Source organism: Homo sapiens, chromosome 12, assembly GCF_000001405.40.
Source record: "Homo sapiens chromosome 12, GRCh38.p14 Primary Assembly".
NCBI classification, from domain to species: domain Eukaryota; kingdom Metazoa; phylum Chordata; class Mammalia; order Primates; family Hominidae; genus Homo; species Homo sapiens.
Window position 1 is genome coordinate 118,446,431 of NC_000012.12, and position 16,985 is coordinate 118,463,415.

The window sequence follows — 16,985 nt, forward strand, 5'->3', positions numbered from 1 at the left end:
TGTCTGGTGTCTCAGCCAGCAGATGGCAGGGTGGAACCCACACTCTCTTCCAAAAGTTTCTCTACACAAAAGAAAATGTGTTATATTAAGTGCTCCCAGGTATTCAAGCCAGAAGCTGATGTACCATCTGTATTAGTCTGTTCTCACACTGCTGTGAAGTCATACCTGAGACTGGGTAATTTATGAAGAAAAGAGGTTTAATTGACTCACAGTTTGACAGGCTTAACGGGAAGCATGGCCAGGAGGCCTCAGGAAACTTACAATCATGGTGGAAAATGAATGGGAAGCTTGTAGATGGCCACCTTCTCCCCATGTCTTCACATGGTCTTCCCTCTGTGTCTGGGTCTAAATTTCCTCTTTTTATGAGGACAACAGTCAGATTAGGACCCACCATAATCATCTCATTTTAATTTAATTACCTCTTTCGAGACCTCATCTCCAAATACAGTCACACTTTGAGGTACTAGGAGTTAGGACTTCAACATGTGAATTTTGGTAGTGGGTGGTGGGGGTGGGGAAAGGACATGATTCAGCCCACAGCAACTCTTCTCATCATTTAGAATGCAGCTTAAATGTCCTTGAGAAGGCTTTCTTTTCCTCCACCCTACCCAATCCAAATTAGATTTCCCATTATTTTCATATATAGCACCCCATTCCCCCCATACCTATTCCATTTTGTAATTGCACATTGATTTATGGGTCTCCATCTAGAATATTAAGTGTCATGAATTCAAGGACCATCTCTTTTCTGATCACTGCTATATCCCCAGGATTAGCACAGTTCCTGACCCATAGTAGGCAGTTGATATAAATTTGTTGAATGAACAAATTAATGAAAAGTCCAGAGACTGAACAGAATCTAGCAACTTTGCATCTAGTTGAACTGAGGCCAAAACCACCGAAAGGAGAGGTGATTCTTACTTACGTTTAAAGATCTGCAAAACAAGTGATTTCACACCAACCCTTAGTAACCCTCACTGCAGCCTTTTGGCACGAAATGTGCAAGGTGTGACCAGAAATCGATTCAAGCTCAGAGGTAGGAAGCTGGGAAGAACACATTTATAAAATTATTGCTGGTGTGTGCTGTGACATAGCAGCCCAGTATAGCACCATAGGCCAGTGTATGACCAAAACTAATGGCACTGGGCCTTTTGTTTAAAAGATAGGAAAATTCAACCGAAAGCAGGGACAGAACAAATTTCATTCTTGTTCAATTGTTTTAGAGGATGTTTAGATTTAGACTCAATTTGAACTGGATTTCTAGGTGGATCCATTTCAAAATGTAATATTTGGGTTGTGCTGAGGCTTAGTGCATCTGTGCAGTTTCACTCTAGCTTCTGGTTCATAGACGGTTTCCAAAAGATCACTGTGAGTCTCAGCCATTTCAGGCAAGATCATACATCCCAAGAATCTTCTTGCTAGAAGGTCCTGCAGACTTATTTTGTGTAGTCCCCTGCCTGCAAAGGGGTCATTTGATTTATCCAGGCAAGATTGTTCATTTATTTTTATTTATTTAGCAAACACTTATTAAGAGTTTACTCTCTGCCAAGCACCATGGATTAGCAAAGAAGCGTAAGATATAGCCTCCACTCTCAAAATTGCATCTTGAGAGCAGAGGCCAAATCTTGGTCTTATTTTTTCCTATCCAGTGCCTGGTGCAATTGTTGTGGCAGGAACAGTTGTGTGGTGACATTTGTCATTTTTTGGCTGCCCAGTGTTAGAATCTTCATTCTATATTTGGAAAATTTCCCATTATATGAGTCTTGTGGGGAGGCAGAATGCTCCTCTCACAAGAGAAGCTCTGACAATGAGGTATTTGCCTTCCCAGGATCCTTTGCAGCTCAGGTGTGATCATGTGACATGGAGTTGGCCAGTCAGATGCACTTGTGTGAGACTTTGAAATGGAATCAGTGTCATGCAGAATAGGGGCAATGGAGGAGCAGTTATGGAAGTGGCAGGAGCAGCAGGGGGTTTCTAGAGGGCAATAATGGTGCCAGTGGCAGCACTCAGTGCCCAGGGCTAGCAGGGGCCAAGGTCTAAACTGTAGTGCCCTCAGCTTGGGGATTGCTGCAGTCCTGTCTTCCTTGAGCTGCTCTTGCTGCCTGAATCTGGCAGAGGTCCTGGCAGCTGGCCAGTCTTGCTTTTTGCCTATTCACTTGCCAGGCTTGGCTCTTCAGCCTTTCTGGTCATTCTATGAGCTCCCCATCATCTCCAGAATGCTTACAGGAGCCAGAGGTGATTTCTATAGCTTGCATCTAGGAAACCTGGCGCATGTAAACTCTTGGTCTACTAACCCAGGAATAACATAAAGCCACTTTCTTACTTTTCCATCATTCAATTAAAATTTTATTCTGAGCTCCCATCATGGGGGTGGTTGTTACTTGATCTCAGTCAGTTCAGAATCTCTTCTCTCCACTTCCCTCTCTTTTTTAAAAAAATAATTCAATTTAATTTTAAGTTTCAGGATACATGTGCAGGATGTGCAGGTTTGTTACATAGGTAAATGTGTGCCATGGTGGTTTGCTACAAAGATCAACCCATCATCTAGGTATTAAGCCCTGCATTCATTAGCTACTTATCCTGATGCTCTCCCTCCCCACCACCCCCACAACAGGCCCCAGGGTATGTTGTTCCCCTTCCTGTGTCCATGTGTTCTCATTGTTCAGCTCCCACTTATAAATGAGAATATGTGGTGTAATGGTTTTCTGTTCCTGCATTATTTGCTGAGGATAATGGCTTCCAGCTCTATCCATGTCCCTGCAAAGGATGTGATCTCACTCCTTTTTATGGCTGCATAGTATTCCATGGTGTTATACATACCACATTTTCTTTATCTGGCCTAACATTGATGGGCATTTGGGTTGATTCCATGTCTTTGCTATTGTGAATAGTGCTGCAATGAACATATATGTGTATGTATCTTTATAATAGAATGATTTATATTCCTTTGGGTATATACCCAGTAATGGGATTGCTGGGTCAGATGGTATTTCAGTTCTAGGTCTCTGAGGAATCGCCATTCCCCTTTTTTAAAGGTAACATTTTAAAGTACTTGTTTAATATCATCAAGTACAGAACAGATGAGAAATAGAGGAAAATGCTAGAGATAACCCCACCATTCTAATTAAATAACTATTTACTTGTATCGTCTTCACTTTTTCATGTGTATGTTTTTACAAATTTATGAATATACTCAATGCAAGCCATTCTTTATCCTACTTAAAACATTTTAACTTATTATTGCATCAACATTTTTTTCTCATGCCTTCTGGTATTTATAATTACAATTATTAGCTTTATTATAAAAATGTATTATAAAAGTTTACATATTTTTAAAGTTAAAATATGTAGAAGTTACAGAAATAATACAATAAGTATCCACATACCCCTCTTAGATCAATTGTTAACATTTTGCTATATTTGCTTTCTCTCTTTGAAGATAATTTGCCAGAAATTATGACACTTTACCTCTTAATACTTCAGCATGCATTTTCCTAAGAAAAAGAACTTTCTTCTACATAATCGCGTTACCATTACCATGGTTAAGAAAATTAGCAATAATTTTCATAGTATCATCTAAAATCTAGCTTGTAGTCAAAATCCCCCAATTATCCCAAGAATGCCTTTTATAACTGGGGTTTTAGAGCTCGACTTTTTCTTTTTTAAGTTCCAGGAGGCTTAAATAATGCTTAGTAATAGTAAAGTATTGGGGGGCAAGTGGGGAGATACTGTTTCCTGTGACTGGATTGTAGCTATTTATCCCCTTGGTTCCTTCATGGCTTCTTGGGTGAACACTCAAAACAGAGCTCAGATTCCCAGCTCTGATTCCTTTCTGGAGTTTCTGTGGCTTCGAATGGGGTAGGAGGCATGTATCCCTAATGCCCAAGCTCTCCGCCTCCTCCCTTTCCCTTTTATGGAGTCTTGAAGGCAAGAAACCCTGGTCTGACTCGTGTTTGTTTTCTTGAGGCCCAAGACCCTTCAGGGTTCACAGGGTTTTGAAATTTAAAAGCCCTTCTTCTGCTTTCAACTCTCTGTGGTCTGACCACTCAAACAGAGAAGGATCATGGGATAACATATGATAATGAGAGGAAAGGACATTGGTTCACTTTTCAAAATATTATCCTGGCTTATATGTTCTGTGCAGACATTAGGACACACGCTTAGCTGTTATGCCCCAGGACAGTCATACTGGTTGTCAAAACATTACTTCTCAACAAGAGCATGAATTTTGTCATCCAAAAAAAGGTGACTTTTGCTTGTGTAGCATTCCTTCATCTTTCTCATATGTAGATTTTTAGATATAATCCATGCATTGGTAAATGATTAGCAGAAAGTACACTGTCCCGGGGCCCCTGTCCTCTAGACAGCCCTACCTCTTCCCTGGGACACTTCAGATCTCCAACAACCAATGGGTGAATGCCTAGAAGAAACAGACGCCTTCAGGACCCTGTCTACATCTCTTCTGATGGGTCAGTGCCAAGACTTCTGGGCTGCTGAGTGTTTTGAATAGCCCCATGGAGCAAATGTAAATCGGATCATATCACCCTCCTGCTTAAAATCCATCATTGACTTCCTGCTTCACTCAGAATTAAGTTCCAGCTGCTTCACAGAGCATGTAAAACCTTAAAAGATCTGGCCCTTGCTTTCCTCATTAGCTTCTTCTCTATTTCCCCCACCTGCTTTGGACCCTGCTCTTCCTACTGATGTTCTAGCCGAAAGAGACTTGTTTGCTCCTTACAGATTCCATGCTTTTTTTGTACTCTGGATCCTCTCACGGTTGTTCCTGCTGCCTGGAGTCACCTCACTAATTGCTATTGATCTCTGGATTTTAGTTTAAATGCCATCTCTTCTGAGAAGTTGTCGCTGAACCTTCCAGGTCTGGGTTCAGGCTTCCTATGCGCTCTGAACTCCTTTTATTGTAGAATTTATCCCAACAATTTCATATTATTGCTATGCCTTCCTGTTAGGACTCCGGACTCCAGAGGGCCAGCACCCATTCTTATCTTGCTCATCATTTGACCCCAAATGTCTAACATTGTAATAAATGTTCACTGGAAGAAATAATGACATTGATATAGACATTCATATACATCTATGCGTATGTAAGTATATACACACAGAGATACATATGAGAGAGTGAACAGATGAGAATCAGAAAAAGGGGAAGATTTGGGACATGGTTAAAATTAGAATGATGTCATCTCAAGTTTCCAAATAGGAACACTGGTATAGGAGGAGATCATTTAAAAATCTGGTAGCCTGGTGGAAGGGAGGTAGCAGAACCAATGCTGATTGGGACAGGAGATTATTTCACAAATAATTCGTAACCTAGGTTTCTTAGAAATAAAGGTTCAGAAAAAAGCTATACCTTTACAACACAAAGGAAACAACCCTCCATGCCCCTGAATCCATCAACAGAGCAAAGAGACTCCTCTTTCTTGCCACTATGGGAGACAAGGTATTTGAGAAGAATATTTGATCCCAAGGCCATTACAAAAAATAATGAGGCTGCACCCAGCACTTTTTTTCACCTATCAGTGCCCCTTACCTACCACGGATGCTGCCTCCTCATTCCTACAGAGCCCCACCTGTTTCATAAATGATGACCAACCTGTCCTGAGTCATAGCTGCTCAGTCACTTCATTTGTGCTGTAATTGCGGGGCATCTGCGTAGGGGTGTTTTCCGCCCTGTTCAGCTAATGCAGTGGTCCCTGGGGGTGGAGCTAGTCCAGGCAGGGGTGCCCCGAAAAAGGCAGTGAGTGACCAGCCAGGGCATGGTGTGAAGGGATGCATCTCAAGAAGCCGGTTTTCACCCATGCCATAATAAACAGAAGGGCTTATTCATTTATTCATGTATTGATTCTTTTGCAATCCCTACTAAAAGGGGTTGTAAAGTTAAATTCCTGCAGGGAGTTGGTGTAATATACGAAGAGTAATGAATGAAGAGAAGTGTGTGTCAAACTAGAGAGTAAATGTCCCCTCTAAAGAAGACAGCTGCTTTTCAAGTTTAGACAATTGTTTCTCTGGGATAGATGTGTATTACTGCATTCCAGATGTGCTGTTTCCCCTCCTGAAGAGGGATTACATCCCATTACATCCCCATCCCACCGACTGATTTGGCCAGTGAAACATGGGTGGGCTGGGCGTGGTGGCTTACGTCTGTAATCCTAGCACTTTGGGAAGCTAAGGCGGGCCGATCACTTGAGGTCAGGAGTTTGAGACCAGCCTGGCCAATATGGCAAAATCCCATCTTTACTAAAAATACAAAAATTAGCTGGGTGTGGTGGCGGGCGCCTGTAGTCCCAGCTACTCGGGAGGCTGAAGCATGAGAATCACTTGAACCCGGGAGGTGGAGCTTGCAGTGAGCTGAGATTGTACCACTACACTCCAGCCTGGGTGACAGAGCGAGACTCCATCTCAAAAAAAAAAAAAAAAAAAAGACTGGACATGGTTTGCTTGGGTCTCATTTCCCTTCAGCCACAGTGACAGTTGATGCTCCAGTTAGAACTCAGGCAATGGGAGCAGAGCCCCGGCCTCCTACAGTGGACATGGAGTGTGAGTGAGAAATCCATCTGAGTTTTTGAGATTGTTACTGCAGCATTGCTCACCTATCCTGACAGTTGTGCAGTCATTTCAGATCTTTGGATTCTTTTCTTTCAAGAGAAGCCAGAAATTCAGATTTTTAAAAATATATATATATATTTTAAGTTTTATAATGAATTCAAATTGTAGGAAAAAAACATCTGGAGGGCAGGTCAAAAAAAATATGTATGGGCCATTGGTTTCCTACCTCTGTCCTAGGTACTAGATAACATGGTGAAAAACTAAAACAGACACACTCCTTATCTCATGGAACTTATAGCTGAATGGAGGAAATAAATACTAGATAAAAGAAACACAAAAATTGTCTGGGTGTGGTGGCTCATGCCTATAATCCCAGCACTTTGGGAGGCTGAGGTGGGTGGATCACCTGAGGTCAGGAGTTTGAGACCAGCCTGGCCAACATGGTGAAACCCCGTCTTTACTAAAAATACAAAAATTAGCCAGGTGCGGTGGCGTGTGCCTGTCATCCCAGCTACTCGGGAGGCTGAGGCAGGAGAATCTCTTGAACCTGGGAGGTGAAGGTTACAGTGAAATGGTGCCACTGCACTCCAGCCTGGGCGACAGAGCGAGACTCTGTCTCAAAAAAAAAAGAAACACAAAAACAATAATTTATTCTTGTGACAAACACTGCAAAGCAGTGGTACAGGATACAATGAGAGCTATATGAAGTGTATTAAGCTAGAGATGGGTCAGGAAAGACTTCACCGGGAGACAAGAAGGACTTAGCCAGATGAAGGAATAGCAGTGGGATTGGGAGCAGGTGATGATGGGCCAGGTGAAGGGCCCTGAGTGGGGAAGTAGGGACTCTGATCTTTACCCTAACAATGAATTTGAGGAGCTCCAAGTTTAGTGTAGCTGGAATTCCAAGTAAAAGAGATGTGGCTTGAGTGCTAAATCTTTGTAGGCCATGGAGAATAGTCTGGACTTTAGCCTAAGAGTAATAGGGAGGCATTGAATGATTCTTAGCAAGAGAATGTTGTATCTGAAGTGGTGGAAAAGTGACATTTATTTAATCATCTATTCTTTTATTGATTTATTAAACATATCTTTGAGTGTCCACTCTGTGGCAGGAATTGTTCTTATTACAGGAAATGCAAAGATAAATCCAACCCTCAAGGAACTCAGCTTTACTTGAAAGGTGGATGACACATAGACACAGCTATAAATAAAAGTAGAAAGTGGTGTATTCCATCATTCATTCATTCACTTATCTATGCAACCAATGTTTATTGAGCACTTACACATATGTGCCAGGTACTCTTTGTATATCTTGGTTGTATGTTGAACAAGACATCATGAATCTTACAATTTGGGTCATTTCATAAAACAAAGTTTCTTTCTTTTTCCTTCCTTCCTTCCTTCCATCCTCCCTCCCTCTCTCTCTCTGTTTCTCTCTCTTTCTTTCTTTCTCTCTTTCTCTTTTATAATGCTTTTTTTTGTGGGACAATGTCTTATTATCTCTATTTGCCAGAAATCTTTTTATTGTAGCTACATGTATGTCATTTTTTTCTCTTGCAGTGATTACTATTTTTTTTTAAGATGTCACCCAGGCTGGAGTGCAGTGGCACGATCTCAGCTCACTGCAACCTCTGCCTCCCAAGTTCAAGCAATTCTTGAGTCTCAGCCTCCTAAGTAGCTGAGATTATAGGTGCGTGCCACTGTGCCCAGCTAATTTTTGTATTTTTAGTAGAGACGGGTTTCACCATGTTGGCCAGGCTGGTGTCGAACCCCTGACCACAAGCGATCTGCCCACCTTGGCCTCCCAAACTGTTGGGATTACAGGCATGAGCCACTGCACCTGGCCAGTTTCCTTATTTCTAAAATGGGATATGTATCCACACCACAAAATTGTTGTAATGCTTTCATGACAGAAAGTGCTCAGCATAATGTCCGGAAGATAAGTACTCCATAAAAGGCAGCTATTGTATTATTATTATTACCATTTTATTTACCAGAAGGAAAAGAATTCCTAAGATCAATATAATTAGATATGTTGGATATAGAAGGAGTCAAGCCAGGGGAATATGTGAGTGGCTCCCAGAGAGGCTAGAATCGATCAGGAGTAGCAGGTGTATATGTGTGTGTGCACCTGCTGGGGGAGTCATTATAGCATTTCTTGGACAGTAGAAATATCAATATTATGATTGATAGGTAATATTACTTTCCCTCAGCTAAGAGAGGAAAGGAAAACACAGAGAATGAGATTGAATGGTAAAGCTGATGCATGAAGAGATTTAAAGGGAACACAGGAAGTAGATATGCAACCATTTCCTGTGTGATTCAGAATGTCTGGTCATTTGGAGTGCATAACCATTAGCAGCATGGCCATAATCCTTTCTGAATTAATAAGGTAAAGAGAAAATATAAGAACATGCCATCGAGTTTGTCATCTCTGCCAAGACCCTGCAACATCAGACTAAGTTAGTTAGGTGAATGTGTACACCTAGGCTGAGTCTAAAGGTACTCTCTGCATTGGAAGTAGGGGCTTCAGATGACAGCCATTTTACTTGACATTAAAAAGCTGGCAGCCATTTTGACACTGAACAAATTTTCCCAAGTGTTTGTAATAATATGGTGATAGATACTATTTAAAGACGCTGTATTATAAACCAGTTATAAATATATTATATGTACATACATGTGTATATATATGTATATATAACGTATATATATATGTTAGGGTGATATGTGTGTATATATATGTATGTGTGTGTGTATATATATATATATATACACACATGCACAATACTTTACTAAGACATATAGAACACCACTGTCCAATAGGCATATAATGACCACCACATATGTAATTTTAAATTTTCTAGTAGCCACATTATAAAAAAGTTAAAAGGAGCATGTGAAATTAATTTTAATAATGTTTTCTTTAACTCAGTATATCCAAAATAAAATGTTATCATTTCAACATGCACTCAATCTAAAAAATTATTATTATTATTATTTTTAGATGGGGTCTCATACTGTCACTTAGACTGGAGTGCAGTGGCGAGATCTTGCAACCTCCACTTGCAACCTCCACCTCCCAGGTTCACGTGATTCTCCTGCCTCAGCCTCCCTAGTAGCTGGGATTACTGGTGCACACCACCACACCCAGCTAATTTTTTATATTTTTAGTAGAGATGGGATTTCACTATGTTGGCCAGACTGGTCTCGAGCTCCTGACCTCGTGATCTGCCTGCCTCGGCCTCCCAAAGTGCTGGGATTACAGGTGTGAGCCATCGCACCCAGCATAAAAAATTATTAATGATATGGTCTACATTTTTTTTTTTTGAGACAGTGTCTCACTCTGTTGCCCAGGCTGGAATGCAGTGGCACTATCTTGGCTCACTGCAACCTCTGCCATCCAGACTCAGGTGATCCTCTGACCTCAGCCTCCTAAATAGCTGGGGCTACAGGCATGTGCCACCACGCCTGGCTAATTTTTGTATTTTTTTGTAGTGACTGGGTCTTGTTATGTTGTTCAGTCCAGGCTGGTCTTGAACTCCTGGGCTCAAGTGATCCACCTGCCTCAGCCTCCCAAAGTGTTGTAAGAAACGCGTGAACCGCCAAATCTGGCCCCCTTTTTCCCCACAGTTAGTCTTTGAAACCCAGTGTGTATTTTATACTCACAGCACATGTCAATTCTGATCAACCATATTTCAAGTGTTCAGTATCCACATGTAGCTAGTTACTACTGTGTTGAACAGTACAGAATACAGAATGATGACTTTCAAGCATCTTTGACCTAAGTCAGAAATATATGTTTAATCACAACTCAGTACACACATATACACACAAAAAAGCAAAAGTGGTATGAAAAAATAATTATACTATGAATCATCCTCCCTGAAATTTTCTTTTTCTGTTCTGTCTCATTCTTTAAAAAAATGCTGATCATGACCCACTAAATTGATTTCATGACTATACAAGGTAGAGTCCTGTTTGAAAATGATTGGTATGGAAAGTATGTGGGGTTATATCTTGAATAGGAGGTTAAATGTTAGTGCTTAAGGCAAAAATTTTGTGTGGCCAAAATTCTCTTAAATTGTCCTGGGTCTTTACAAGGTCAAAAGGCAAGAATTAACTTGTTTCTTTTTGCATTTTGATTGTGACCTTTCTTTTCCTGAGGCATTGGGGTCAAATTCTAGTGTGACTGGTTTTAAGAGATGCAGGATGAATTTTTTGCTTTTTCATAATCAAATTCATAAGGTAAATGTGGGTGTGTTGCCAACACCCTGGATATAATATATGTTTAATTGATTTATATATATTATATTTCTATATATGTGTAAGATCTTAGAGGATACATGGCATGGCATTAGGATAAGGGCAATGAACTGCCCTGAAATTGTATGCAACTTAAAAATATTTATTGCCTTCCAAAGGGTTGTGTTCCAAGTAAAACTAAGAAAACACATTGGCCTAGTGTGCTTATAACACTGTAGGGAAGAGAAAAAGCTTTCCCTCTACTCTTTTAGGTTCTATAGGTGGGACCCATGAGTTAGACTGACAAAAGACAGATTAACAGGAGAAAAGGCAAGCAAGCTTTATCTGATTTTAATATTTTAATTTTTATCCTTTATGTTTTTCACATACATAGAGGACTTCATAGCAAAGAAATGAAGATCCAAATAGGTGGTTAAACCTGGGATTTTATATACCATTTTAACAAAAGATGATAAATTTGTGGAGCAGTGACAAGAAAAAGGAGAAAGAATTTGGGCTTCTAGGTGTGGTAAATTGTGAGAAGATAAATGGGAAAAACGAATGGAAAATAAGCATTATTTTTGTAAGGTTTATTTGCATAGACCCATCTTTGTATCAATTTTATGCCTCCAGTGATAATGGCTGTTTTTCCTCTTTCTGGTATGGGAGAAGGGAGAGAGACGATCTTCACAAAGGGAAATTTATGTCCTGCTTTTAGGCACAGAGTGGGGAGTTAAAGAGCTCTTTCTGAATTTGCTGCTTCTTAATTCCTTTTAGCTTCAAACAATCCTTATGCCAAAATGGCATATTTTGGGTTGGCATATTATGATCCCTTTTAATACTTCACCAATTTGCCACCTTAATTATTTGAATCAATCCTGAGAATCCAAGGGGAGTTAAGAAAGTTCTCTTAAGAAAAAAAATAAATGTTTTGACATTACCTGGGATTCATTTTTGGAGGCTGTTCATTCTTTGAAAGCAGTATTCAAAACCTGTGACTGACGAGAAGCAAAAAATTGATAGAAGCAGGTGGGGACAGGCTCCTTGGCAGTGGGAGATATGTTCAAGGACTACTTGAGGGAAAGAGAGAAGGCAGATGCCATAGAAATGGGTTCGGGGATACCTGATGTGGCCACACTTCTTTCTTGAAAGCACCCCAGGTCACCTGCTGAAAGGGTGGGATCCCACGATTTTATGTTCATTCCAAATGCTGCTTCTCTGCTGGTCACAGCTTATTGGACTAGAGTTTGATACTTGATCCTGGTTTAGCCAATCAGAGTCTTTATGCAATCTGCATAAAGAGAAATATAAGTTAGCCGTTTGGATGCTGGAGCTATTAAGGCAAGGACATGTATGAGGGTCAGGGTTGGTATCATGTCAAGCTAAAGGCTGGATAGACTTAAGTTATGGGGGAGCAGAAAGGGTGAAATTTATAGAGAAAGCAATTTGCAGAACAATTTAAGAAGTAAAAAGGAGCCAAGAAGATAGAATAGTATGGGTCAACGTCTTTCTGGGCCCCAACAGGGTAGCCCACTGGTTCTCAACAGGAAGCTATTTTGTCCTCCCTGACCCCCACCAAAGGGACATTTGGAGATGTCTGGAGATATTTTTGATTGTCACGACTGGTCAGGAGGGATGCTTATTTGCATCCAGTGGGTAGAGACCAGGATGCTGCTTAAACATCCTACAATGCATAGAACAGCCCCCGCATCAAATAATTATCTGGTCTACATGCTAGCAACTTGTTAAGCACTTTACAGGGTTTATCATATTGAACCTTCAAAACCAACCTCCGGAGGCAGGAGTTATTGTTAGGTCATTTTATAGATAGAGACACTGAGGCTTAGAGACTGAGTTAAATTGCCCAAGACAGGACTCGAGGTCACGGATCCAGAAAATCTGGCTACAGAGCATAAGCTCTTAACCATTATGTGTAGGGACTAAGGCCAAGAAACTATAAGAAGCAGCACAGCCCAAAAGACCCAGTAGCTTTGGGAGGGGAGTATTTAGTTTAGGAGTGAAAACTTTGCACACTTCAATAGCAACAGAAGAGAATACTATTTTAGAGTCCAGTAACCATAATAACAATAATTAATATTTTCAAGTGTTTACTGTGTCTAATACTTCTATGCTTTATAAATATTGGCCTATGAGTCTGACTTTATTAACACCTCCCCCCTGCTTTTCTTTTGAGATTGAGTATCCCTTTGTCACCACTGGAGTGCAGTGGTGCGATCTCAGCTCACTGCAACCTCCGCCCCCTGGGTTCAAGCGATTCTCCTGCTTCAGCCTCTCAAGTAGCTGGGATTACAGGTGCTCATTACCACGCCCAGCTAATCTTTGTATTTTTAGTAGAGACAAGGTTTTGCCATGTTGGCCAGGCTGGTCTTGAACTCGTGACCTCAGTTGATCCACCCGCTTTGGCCCCCCAAAGTGCTGGGATTACAGGCGTGAGCCACCACGCCCAGCCTATTATCCCTGTTTAACAGATGAGGAAAACAAGGTGCAAGTAGTCAAGTAGCTTGCTCAATGTCACAGAGCTTGTCAATGGCAGTTGAGATTTTATTCCAGATGATCTGGATCAATGTCTATGTATTTTTCCCATCATGCTAGGCTACCTCTCAGTAGAGTGAGAAGAAACATTTATAGTGTTGAACGTTAAGTCAAGGTCCTTGTGTTTTAAAAGATGGGAATTAAAAGAAGGGATGTGGGAAAGGAGAAAACCAGCGTGAACATAGATTTAAAGGTATGAAGATTCAGATTCCAGATCAGGAGGTCCATGAATGTGGCTGTATCTGGGATGGGGTTTGGGGTATGGAGGCCTCGGATGTTTGGCTTCAGCCTAAAATGGCAAAATGGCGCTAAAGTGAATGCTGAAATCTGCTATGGTTTGAATGTATATGTCCCTCCAAAATTCCCATGTTGAAACCTCACCACCAAGGTGATGGTATTAGAAGATGGGGGCCTCTCAGGCTGAGCGTGATGGCTCATGCCTGTAATCCCAGCATTTTGGTAGGCTGAGGCAGGCCAATCACTTGAGCTCACAAGTTTGAGACCACCCTGGGCAACATGGCAAAACCCCATCTCTACAAAAAATACAAAAATTAGCCAGATGTGATGGCATACACCTGTAGTCCCTGTTACTCGGGAGGCTGAGGTGGGAGGATCACTTGAGCCTGGGAGGTGGAGGTTGCAGTGAGCGGAGATCATACCACTGCACTCCAGCCTGGGTGATAGAGCCAGACCTTGTATTAAAAAAAAAAAAGAAGAAAGAAAAATGGGGCCTCTGGGAGATGATTAGGCCATTAGGGAGTCACTTCTGTGAATGAGATTAACATCTTTATAAAGGGAAGCATCAGAGAGCTGACCCTTTCTTCTGTCTCTTCTGCCATGTAAGAACACAGCATTTGCTTCTTCCATGATGTGAGGGTGCAGCAACAAGGTGCCATGTTGGAAACAACCAGCAGCCCTCACCAAACACTGAAGCTGCCAGTGCCTTGTTCTTGGACTTCCCAGTCTCCAGAACTATGAGGAAATAAACCTCTATTCTTTATAAATTACCCAGTCTCAGGTATTTTGTCATAGCAACAAAAATGGACCAAGACAACATTCAAGGTAAAAGTTGGAGCCTTATTCTATTGGTTTAGAAGAGCCTAAGTTTTTTGAGCAGAAGGATAAAGAGATTATATTATGTATGTTAGAAAGAGCTCCCTGAGAGTGCAGAGCACACATGGGGACAGGAAGGAAGTGGAGCAGGGAGACTGGCCAGATGACACTGACATTGTCAGAGGGAAGAGTATGGGAAGGATTTGAGAAACGTTTCAGAGGTGGAAAGGTTTGGCTCAGGAAGTGCCTGGATTTAGGGATAAGAAAGAGAAAGGAGGTGAAAGTGAAGGTAAGATTCTAGTTGGGGCACTAGGTGGTTGGTGAATCTGGGAAAGGAATAATGCAAAAGACACTCATTACGATTGTAATAAAAAATAAAAACAATACAACTTATCTTTTGAACATGATCATATGGAGTAAAATTCTCCAATTCTGGTAATTAGGATCCCTAGAAGAAACCTACTTTTATCAAAGACCTAAAAATATGCTTTTACAAAAATGTGTGTGCATTAATCTTGGATCATGTTGTCGTGTGCCTTCTTTTTAACTACAACATATTGTATGCATCTTTCCAAACCAATTCATATAAATTTACAACAGTATTAATGGCTGTATAGTATTCTACTGTGTGGATGGTATGAAGATTCATGTAGCTGGCTATTGACAGAACTTTGGGTTGTTTTTCATTTTTTTTCTTTCTGTTATTACCATCAAAGCAAGAAATGACTTTGTATATCTTTGGCTTTTTAGTGCTAGTCAATTTATAAGGGTAAAACTTTTAGAGTAGCATTGCTGGGTCAAAGGCTAAGCACATTTAAAATTTTGATAAGTTCTTCCAAATTGCCAGAAGGCCAGATTTTTAGGATAGGGTAATGAGTTCTGTTTCGGTCAAGTAAGGTCCAGGTGCCAAAGGCCTAAGGTCACTATGAATACCCCCAAATCAATTAGTAACACAGGTTGCAACTCTGAAGAGAAGTAACAACAGGAGAGGTGCCAGAATCAGAGGTATGAGAACCCTAAAGCTCATAATGATTTAAGATAAATAAACTATGCTTCAAATGTAAATACAGCTACACTAGACACATTAATTATCAAAGGTTCTCAATGTACTGTGAAAGTGTATATACAACACATAAAAACACAATCCCATCTCAACTTTACCATAAAACTAATACGTTAGCTATGATAAATATTAATTACACATTCATATAATAATCTTTTTTTGCTTCCTTAAATTTGGAAGTGCTTTTGGAGGATGATTTGAATTCCTTAGATTTCTTAAAAGCATTTACAAGTGTCGGTGCCCTTCAGCTAAAGACCACTAGGTGCACGCTGGCAGCCGAACAAGTTGGGGTCATTACTCATTGCAGTGAGGGAGAACTGGCGCCATCGAACCTGTAGGACATCTTGGTAGGAGGGAGTGAGGAAGGATTTATTACAAAATTTGGACTTTTTTTTTTTTGAGATGCAGTCTTGCTCTGTTGCCCAGGTTGGGGTACCATGTCATGATCTCAGCTCACTGCAACCTCCGCCTCCTGGGTTCAAGCGATTCTTCTGCCTCAGCCTCCCAAGTAGCTGGGATTACAGGTGTGCGCCACCACACTCAGCTAATTTTTGTATTTTTAGTGGAGACAGGGTCTCACCATGTTGCCCAGGCTTCTCTCGAACTCCTGACCTCAGGTGATCTGCCCACCTCAGCCTCCCGAAATGTTGGGATTACAGGCATGAGCCACTGTGCCTGGCCACGAAATTTGGACTTTGACTGGGGAGTCTGGGTGAGGGGTTAAAGAACTGGGGCTTTGGCCGGGCACAGTGGCTCATGCCTGTAATCCCAGCACTTTGGGAGGCTGACGTGGGTGGATCACCTGAGGTCAGGAGTTTGAGACCAGCCTGGCTAACATGGTGAAACCCGATTTCTATTAAAAATACAAAAATTAGCTCGGCATGGTGGCAGGTGCCTGTAATCCCAGCTACTCGGGAGGCTGAGGCAGGAGAATCGCTTGAACCTGGGAGGCAGAGGTTGCAGTGAGCTAAGATCGTGCCATTGCACTCCAGCCTGGGTGACAAGAGTGAAACTCCATCTCAAAAAAAAAAAAAAAAGAACTGGGGCTTTCCTCAGGATTGGATACTGATAGGAAGTGGGAGGAATTCTACGATTGGGCTTCTTAATAAATCTTATCTAAAGGGAGAAAAGACTAGAGCAAGCCTCAGCCTGTAATCAGTAAAGAAGTAGCAGCCACACATATTAGGCAGGATAGGCAATATTTGGTCATTTTTGTGATTTGGATGGCATTCATGTTTTGTCTGTGTCCAGATATGCTTCTTTATGTCTTGCTCCATCATGGTCTCAGAGTGGCCTTGTCCAATTTTTTAAAAAGTTTATGCCTTTTTGAGACAGGATCTCATTCTATTGCCCAGGCTAGACTACCGTGGCATAATTACCTCACTGCAGCCTCAACCACCTGGGCTCAGGTGATCCTCTCACCTCATCCTCCCAAGTAGCTGAGAATACAGTCATGTGCCACCATTTCAGGCTAATTTCTTTTTTTCTTTTCTTTTTTTGTAGAGATGGG

The 16,985-nt window shown here is 41.2% G+C and overlaps 1 annotated feature.

Annotated features, from left to right (window-relative positions):
- Positions 15,690-15,848: a silencer, noted in NCBI's record as "fragment chr12:118899925-118900083 (GRCh37/hg19 assembly coordinates)". NCBI's record gives its function as "represses an EF-1alpha promoter that drives an FKBP-Casp9 reporter gene in an ReSE screen in phorbol 12-myristate 13-acetate-treated (for megakaryocytic differentiation) K562 erythroleukemia cells {active_cell/tissue: K562(+PMA)}" and the evidence as "EXISTENCE:reporter gene assay evidence [ECO:0000049][PMID:32094911]".